Below are 8,931 nucleotides of genomic sequence, written 5' to 3' on the forward strand. Positions count from 1 at the left end.
TAGTGTGTATAAGAATTTTTGTCAAAGCTGTAAAAACAAAATTTGCATACTGTATTTTAAGAAATATAAAGGGATTTCAATGGTATTTTTGACTCTGACATTTTTCCTCCTCATTTTTTTTTAAAGACCTTGAGATCCTATTGGAGTTAATTTTTCTTTTTGCACTGATTTTAGAATGAACCTAACTCTCACAAATAATATGCCTCCTCTGTCTGACAAAATAAGATATTAGATATTGGAAACATAGTAACCACCTATCTGTCAAAACTTCAAAAATTCCTACTTAACTACCCATTAACTCTCTTGTTCTTTCTTTGAAATACTTACTGAAAGAAATATTTGTTGGTTTCACTTGGCTAGAGAAATTCCTGCTTAATAGTATTTATAGAAAGAGTCAGAATTTCACTAATGTTAGGACCATCAACAAACATACATATTGGTCACTTTCCATGCATTATAATCCAGGCTTACTTGCAAGCCTAAAAATGTTGAAGGCTACCAGGTATGGAGACCAGGCCTATTCAGAGGCCAAGGACAACCAGAGTGAGAAGAGAGGCCTTTAGAATGTGGTCTGTGAATGAAATACTATTGTCCAAGCTTTAGGAAGGAATTACAAAAATCTCAGGGGGAACAGGTCTTCTAAAACAACTTAGGGCTTGCCATCAAAAGAGGCCAAATGGGAAAGTAAAAGGAATGAAAGTCTGGTATAGCAGCCCATAATGCATTCCTTATAGCAGACACAGTACTCTGCTACGTTTCCTGGCCATACCTCCTCTTCAGCTGCAGGTGTGGTAGAGTCTACCAGGTAGACAGTTCCTGGCAAGCTGAAGGCTTCCCTGCTCAAGTGCCCATCATCGTGTCTTTCACCTTTCCTGCCTCAAGGCTTTTCTAAAGCCTAAGTATTTCAGCCCTTGCACACACAAAGCTGGCAATGTTTCTTAGAGGGCATTTCTCAGCCAAAGAGGGTCTGGAGTTGATGGATAAATGTCTCACCTCACCTCCACCCCCATCCTTCAGGGGTGCATTCTGCAGTTTTTTTTAGAGGGTCCCCAGCAGTATTAAGCCCAGTTGCCCACAATGGTAACTAGCTAAATAATACTTCCGATGATGGCCTTTCCTTCTTCCCTGTTAACCTTTCTTTTTATCCTTATTCTGACTTCCTGGGATCATTCCCCAAAGATACTATTATACTCCAGTTTTTTACTCAGTCTTTGTTCTGGGGTTCCCAAACCAAGACAGTCCTACTCATGGTAGAGGAGGAATAACATCGACTGAAAAGGCTGGGCACAGTGGCTCATGCTTGTAATCCCAGCACTTTGGGAGGCCGAGGCGGGCGGATCATGAGGTCAGCAATTCGAGACCAGCCAGGCCAACATAGTGAAACTCCGTCTCTACTAAAAATACAAAAATTACCTGGCGTGGTGGTGCACGCCTGTAATCCCAGCTACTCGGGAGGTTGAGGCAGAAGAATTGCTTGAACCTGGGAGGTGGAGTTTGCAGTGAGCCAAGATAGTGCCACTGCACTCCAGCCTGGGTGACAGAGTGAGACTGTCTCAAAAAAAAAAAAAGATCAACTGAAGAAACAGGGTGAAGTTTCAGACTCAGTTTGCCCTTCTTGAAAAGAAGAATGAAACCAAGAGAAGTAGGTGTATCTACCTATGCAGAGAAGGAGTGGAAAGGAGTGATTCTGCTACATTTAAGGCCTGCCTTAAGGCAGGATGCCTTCCTTCTCTGTGCCAAACTATATTTCTTTTTCTTTTTATTTCTAGAGGCAGAGATCAGTCAAACTCTTTCACTGTTTCTTCATGCCGTATTAAATACACTGTTAAGCAATGGACAGATATTGCCATCTGTGCTTTGAGCTCTTTACCAAAATTGGGATTATCTGGTGATCTAAGCAGTCTTAGATTCCAAAAGTTAGTTGGTTTCCTTGGTAAGGGCTAGGGTAGAGACAGAAGATTTTGTTCATAGCCTATGGCCAAGTTCCTGTAGGATTTCCAAAGCAACTGTTTAAATAAATGGCTGGGCAAGAAGAGAGGCTGTCCTGGCTGCTTTCATTATCTTCTTTGGGGCAAAAATTATTGGCCCTTCGTGACATCACTTATAAATTTTTAAGTTTCCGTGGTGTACATGGGTCAATTCCTTCCTAAATTATTTATAGTGATATATATATGTGCATGTGTGTATATATCAGTATCTATATATCTATATCTCAAAAGAACAAGCAAGCAAGAGTTCTCAACAGACAAGCATTGAGCAGAGTCTTTGCAGACATTTGGTGTTCTTTTCCTTTGGGGAAGACATGAAGCCTATCTTTCTGGAAGAAGCACAGAGACCTTGGTAATATCTTGCTTGAGAAAGGTGGATAGTTTGTTAATCCGTTTCCTTTCTATGAGAAGGGAAAAACTAGCTTCAGGAGTGCTGAGACCTAACTAGGGAGATTTTACCAAGAATGTCTCATAACATGCTGTCATTGAAGTAGCACGAGTTACCCAAAGTCTGGAAAGTACAAAGTAAGGGGGAAAAGTAAGATTTTAGGGATAAATCCAGCCAGAAAACTCATCAGGGCTCATTGTGCCCCCAAATCCATGGGCTTTGGAAGCACAAATAACTGCAGCTTCGGTTCAGTGCAGCTGGGACAAATATGGAAAGAACTGGAAGCCTTCTCTGGGAGGCAGGTCTCACAGGCCTAAGAAATTTCAGAGTGGGAGGCAGCCTGTGGTACAGGGTCAAAGCAGCACTGAGAACTTGCTGGGTATTAAAAACATGCAAAAGAAAAAGCAAGGAATCTGGATCAGAGGGAAATCAAGATCACAAATTGCTTGGAAAGTTGCTGTAATTCATTCATTCATTGACTGTTAATAGGTACTGGAGGTATAGCAACGAATAAGACCAGTGATGCCTTTTTTTTTTTCTATTTTAAGATACAGAATACTTTGTTAGTTCCCTAGATTATTTCTTAATGGTGGACCATTTGTAACATTATACCTTGAAACACTTAGCTAAAAGTCAAGTCTAGGTGTTATTAAGAATTCCATTGACATTTCAAGCTAATGTTTATAAAATAATACATCTTTGATATTAGACTTATGTCCTTTCCTATTCCCCCAAAATCTTGATAGTAAAATTGTTTCCTGTTTTTGAGTTAGGTGATCAACAAATGTATCGTGTACTTATTATGTGCTCACCCAGTATGTGGATAGCATGGAAGATGCTTTTTTCAGTTTTGAGCTGGGCATATTGTTGTGAAAAATAAAGATTACATTTCCAGCTTCCTTGTACTTAGGTATGACCTTGTAGTTCTGGCCACTGAGATATAAAATGTGAGATATAAAAAAACAGCTAACAAGGGCTGGGTTTTTTTGTTTGTTTGTTAGTTTGTTTGTTTGTTTTTGCCCTTTTGTCTTGAACCTGTTCCTTCCAGAGGGACCGAAATGCAGATATGAAGGTTGGCACTCCAGTTGCCATCTTGGACCACAAGTGACACTGGGGATGGAAGCTGCATGCTGAGCATGGTGGAGCAGGGAGACAGGAGGGTCCCGGAAAGCATCATGGGCTGCCATGCTAGTCCTGGATTATCTATTTCCAGTTTCCTTTACCCAAGAAATAAATAAATGCTTATCTTTTTAAGCTTCTTTTGAGTTATCTGTTACTTGTAGCCAAATTTGTTGCAATTTGCAGCAGATATAGTTAGAGTTCTGTAGCTTATTTGGGCCATTTTTACTTATAAGTGACAGTAACTTTGCATTAAAAGATTGCCTAGCTAGGTATTGCCTTGAGCAATTGCTGTTAGGCTTCTCTTTCAATGGGGTTGCTCAGAAAAGCTGAGGCAGGTCCCCTTAGACCATTATCCTTCCGTCTTTTTTTCACACTTGCCTGGTAGGATCTTATCCAGCTCTTTTCCGAGCTCTTCCTTATCTCCTCCCTCCATTTTCATTTCCTTCTGGTCTCTGTCAACTGATTTTGCTATCTGGGAGCTTATATAAAGCTAGGAATGAGCCGGGCGTGGTGGCTCACATCTGTAATCCCAGCACTTTGGGAGGCCAAGGCGGGTGGATCACCTGAGGTCAAGAGTTCGAGAGCCTGGCCAACATGGCGAAACCCCATCTCTACTAAAAAAAATACAAAAATTAGCTGGGCTTGGTGGTGGGCTCCTGTAATCCCAGCTACACGGGAGGCTGAGGCAGGAGAATTGCTTGAACCTGGGAGGCAGAGGTTGTAATCCTCCTGCCTCAGACTCCCATAGTGCTGGGATTACAGGCATGAGCCACTGTGCCTGGCCCAGAGTTTGCTCTTGAGGGAGAAGTGGTGCTCATACTTGGGTCACAATTAGTTCTAATTTGTTCCACTCCTTTTTTTTTTTTTTTTTTTTTTTTGAGAGAGTCTCGCTCTGTGGCCCAGGCTAGAGTACAGTGGCACGATCTCAGCTCACTACAACCTCTGCCTCCCAGGCTCCAGGGATTCTCCTGCCTCAGCCTACCTAGTAGCTGGGACTACAGGTGTGCACCACCACACCCAACTAATGTTTGTATTTTTAGTAGACATGGGGTTTCTCTATGTTGGCCAGGCTGGTCTTGAACTCCTGGCCTCAGGTGATCCACCCACCTTGGCCTACCAAAGTGTTGGGATTACAGACAGGCGTGAGCCACCACACCCTGTCTGTTTCATTCTTTCTTGATCTTTCATTGACTTCTGTGTGAACCAAATCCCTAAGAATCTCAGACATGGACACTTACGCATCATCATAGTTATACTGTTTCTACATTATGCAGGTTTCCCAGAAGAAAATAAATTCCTTTAAAAGAAAAAAAAATTATTCTAATACAATTTGTTACTACTACCCAACTTATTCTACAAAGCTAGGGCAAGGTCTAAAGAGAGGAATGGAGAAAACAAACAAGACCAGTTAAACAGTGAAAGCAGGCTCAGTGAACAGCAGAAATCTTTGTGTGTACTCAGTCTTGTAGAGACGTTTCTTCCTAAGGTCAAGAGAGGCTTCATCTATTCATTTCCTTTTGGGAAGTTTTAGGAACAAAGAAGCAGTATCTTTAGTTTTGTTATTGAGGAGCAGCAGCTGAGACTTTCGTGCATGTAAAATGTCACCACTAGGGACTTTGAGATCTTCTGCCAAGCTGCTCATGACTTCCTACCTTTTAAATGTCTTGTATTCTATAGTACTTTAAGATTTCTAACCAATTAAATTTTCTTCTATATCTGCATCACCTCCATTCTCATGCTCACAATACTAGCCTTTGTGCCTAGAATAGACTTCAGACCATTTGCTCCTCTTGTTCAAAACACAACCCAAACTTTTCTCACTGGACCCTGTGTATACCTCACTCAGAACACTGACCATGTTATCTAGGAAGGGTTTGTTTGTATATATTTTCCTATTTAACTCTCTGCCTTGAGGGCCTAACCCTTTGCCTATCATAGAGTAAGGCCCTCAGTGGATATCTACTGACCTTTGGCAGGAGTGATAGTCAGTCATCATATCTGCCAACAGCTATGTGTGGTCAATTATCATTTGCAATAAGCTAGTCTAAAAAAATTATCCTGAAATTTAAAATTACATAACAAAACAAAAAAACACTGTGCAGGACAAAGAGAAAGAAAACTGCCCAAGGCTGGAAAATACAAATTTGAACACAGCTGGGAGCTGTAAAGGGAAACAAGTACAACTCTTCACTGATATTATGAAAAGTCTTTTGTAATGAAGCATCAGAAAATTAAACAATCATACGATATGTACTAATACAAAATAGTGCACATTATGCTAATACAAAAGATAAGACAGTGGAGTGGTTTAGGGCATATGCTTGGGAGCCACATTTCAAAGTTTATATTCTGGCTCTGCTACTTCCAAGCTATGTGGAATTAGGCAAATTACCTAACATCTCTGTTTCTGTAGCTTCATCCTTTGTAAAATGCAGATTCTACTATTGTTCTCCTCAGTGGACTTTTAATAAAAGGAGTTAATATATCAAAAGCACTTAGACAAGTGGCTGACATATAGAAGCAGCAATATAAATATTTTAGTATTATTGTTTTTGTTATAATTCCCCATCTTTAAGCATGACTCATGACAACAAAAACCAGAAATGTTAAGGTTGGAAGCCTAACACATTTATATATGTAAATAGTAAAGAGGATGGATTAAGATGGCAATGTGGGTCATTCATTACTTTTAAAGGGGGTCTTAACATTATACTTTTAGGCGGGTGCGGTAGTTCACGCTTGTAATCCCAGCACTTTGGGAAGCTGAGGCGGGCGGGTTGCTTGAGGTCAGGAGCTCGAGACCAGCCTGGCCAATATGGCGAAACCCCGTCTCTATTAAAAATACAAAAATTGGGCCAGGCGCGGTGGCTCACGCCTGTAATCCCAGCACTTTGGGGGGCCGAGGCGGGCGGATCACGAGGTCAGGAGATTGAGACCATCCTGGCTAACACGGTGAAACCCCGTCTCTACTAAAAATACAAAAAAATTAGCCGGGCGTGGTGGCTGACACCTGCAGTCCCAGCTACTTGGGAAGCTAGCTGAGTCAGGAGAATGGCGTGAACCCAGGAGGCGGAGCTTGCAGTGAGCCAAGATCGCCCCACTGCACTCCAGTATGGGCGACCGAACGAGACTCCGTCTCAAAAAGAAAAACAAAGTGTATGTATACATATACACACACACACACACACACACACACACACACACACACACACACAAATTAGCCGGGCATGGTGGTGCACCCCTGTAATCCCAGCTACCCAGGAGACTGAGGCAAGAGAATCGCTGAACCCAGAAGGCAGAGGTTTCAGTGAGCTAAGATCGTGTTACTGAGAGGTGACAGCGTGCTGGCAGTCCTCAGAGCCCTCGCTTGCTCTTGGCACCTCCTCTGCCTGGGCTCCCACTTTGGCAGCATTTGAGGAGCCCTTCAGCCCCCCCCTCCACTGCACTGTGGGAGCCCTTTTCTGGGCTGGCCAAGGCTGGAGCCCACTCCCTCAGCTTGCAGGGAGGTGTGGAGGGAGAGGCGTGAGCGGGAACCGGGGCTGCGTGCGGCGCTTGCGGGCCAGCTGGAGTTCCGGGTGGGCGTGGGCTTGGCGGGCCCCACACTCGGAGCAGCCAGCCAGCCCTGCTGGCCCCGGGCAATGAGGGACTTAGCACCCAGGCCAGTGGCTGCGGAGGATGTACTGGGTCCCCTAGCAGTGCCAGCCCACCGGCGCTGCGCTCGATTTCTCACGGAGCCTTAGCTGCCTTCCCGCAGGGCAGGGTTCGGGACCTGCCGCCCGCCATGCCTGAGCCTCCCACCCACTCCGTGGGTTCCTGTGCAGCCCCAGCCTCTCCGACGAGCACCACCCCCTGCTCCACGGCGCCCAGTCCCATCGACCACCCAAGGGCTGAGGAGTGTGAGCGCACGGCGCGGGACTGGCAGGCAGCTCCACCTGCAGCCCTGGTGCAGGATCCACTGGGTGAAGCCATCTGGGCTCCTGAGTCTGGTGGGGACGTGGAGAGTCTTTATATCTAGCTCAGGGATTGTAAATACACCATTCAGCACCCTGTGTTTAGCTCAAGGTTTGTGAGTGCACCAATCGACACTCTGTATCTAGCTGCTCTGGTGGGGCCTTGGAGAACCTTTATGTCTAGCTCAGGGATTGTAAACACACCAATCAGCACCCTGTGTTTAGCTCAAGGTTTGTGAGTGCACCAATCGACACTCTGTATCTAGATGCTCTGGTGGGGCCTTGGAGAACCTGTGTGTGGAAACTGTATCTAACTAATCTGATGGGGACGTGGAGAACCTTTGTATCTAGCTCAGGGATTGTAAACGCACCAATCAGTGCCCTGACAAAACAGGCCACTCGGCTCTACCAATCAGCAGGATGTGGGTGGGGCCAGATAAGAGAATAAAAGCAGGCTGCCTGAGCCAGCATTGGCAACCAGCTCGGGTTCCCTTCCACACTGTGGAAGCTTGGTTTTTTTGCTCTTTGCAATAAATCTTGCTACTGCTCACTCTTTGGGTCCACGCTGCTTTTATGAGCTGTAACACTCACCACGAAGGTCTGCAGCTTCACTCCTGAGCCCAGCAAGACTAAGAGCCCACTGGGAGGAACGAAAAACTCCGGACGCGCTGCCTTAAGAGCTATAACACTCACCGCGAAGGTCTGCAGCTTCACTCCTGAGCCAGCGAGACCACGAACCCACCAGAAGAAAGAAACTCCGAACACATCTGAACATCACAAGGGACAGACTCCAGACGCGCCACCTTAAGAGCTGTTAACACTCACCGCGAGAGTCCACGGCTTCATTCTTGAAGTCAGTGAGACCAAGAACCCTCCAATTCCGGACCCATTACTGCACGCCCGCCTGGGCTCTGTCTCTAAAAATAAAAAAATTATACTTTTATAAACTCTTTCCTTGAAGGGTTAAATGCATATGAGGAAGCGGCACATGGACTTCCTTGGCGCTTCCCCCACCCTCCCTTTCTACCTTGTGTCCATACCAAATTTTGTGATTTATCACTAAGTACAAATTATTAGTTAAGTGCTATAAAGATTCTTTTGAAATACCTTTTGGGAAGGATATAGAATTTATTTTAAGAGCATAAAACTAGACAACTGGTGTTTCTTTATTGCTTGCTTTGGAACTCATATTCCTATTGGAGTTCCCAATTAGGCAGTTTGCGAATGAAAATTTCTAAATCTTGGGCTAAAGCCTGTTTTGGTAACAACTTTAGTCCTTATTTGAATTACATTAGTAGGCATGTGTACAACCTGTAACTTCTGAGATATTTGGTCCTTGAGACTTCTAGCGGCATTAAAAATATGACAGGTTCTAGGCTCTCGGTACTTACACACTTTTCTCTCTTTTTTTTTTTTTTTTTTGACAAGGCTGCTAAGAGAACACTGCAATCTTTGGGTAGTTCACCCGTTTTCTTTACTGTGC

At 44.2% G+C, this 8,931-nt stretch overlaps 1 annotated feature.

Annotated features, from left to right (window-relative positions):
* Positions 3,407-3,564: a silencer, noted in NCBI's record as "fragment chr5:74625905-74626062 (GRCh37/hg19 assembly coordinates)". NCBI's record gives its function as "represses an EF-1alpha promoter that drives an FKBP-Casp9 reporter gene in an ReSE screen in HepG2 liver carcinoma cells and phorbol 12-myristate 13-acetate-treated (for megakaryocytic differentiation) K562 erythroleukemia cells {active_cell/tissue: HepG2 | K562(+PMA)}" and the evidence as "EXISTENCE:reporter gene assay evidence [ECO:0000049][PMID:32094911]".

Source organism: Homo sapiens, chromosome 5 (assembly GCF_000001405.40).
Source record: "Homo sapiens chromosome 5, GRCh38.p14 Primary Assembly".
Classification (NCBI taxonomy): Eukaryota; Metazoa; Chordata; class Mammalia; order Primates; family Hominidae; genus Homo; species Homo sapiens.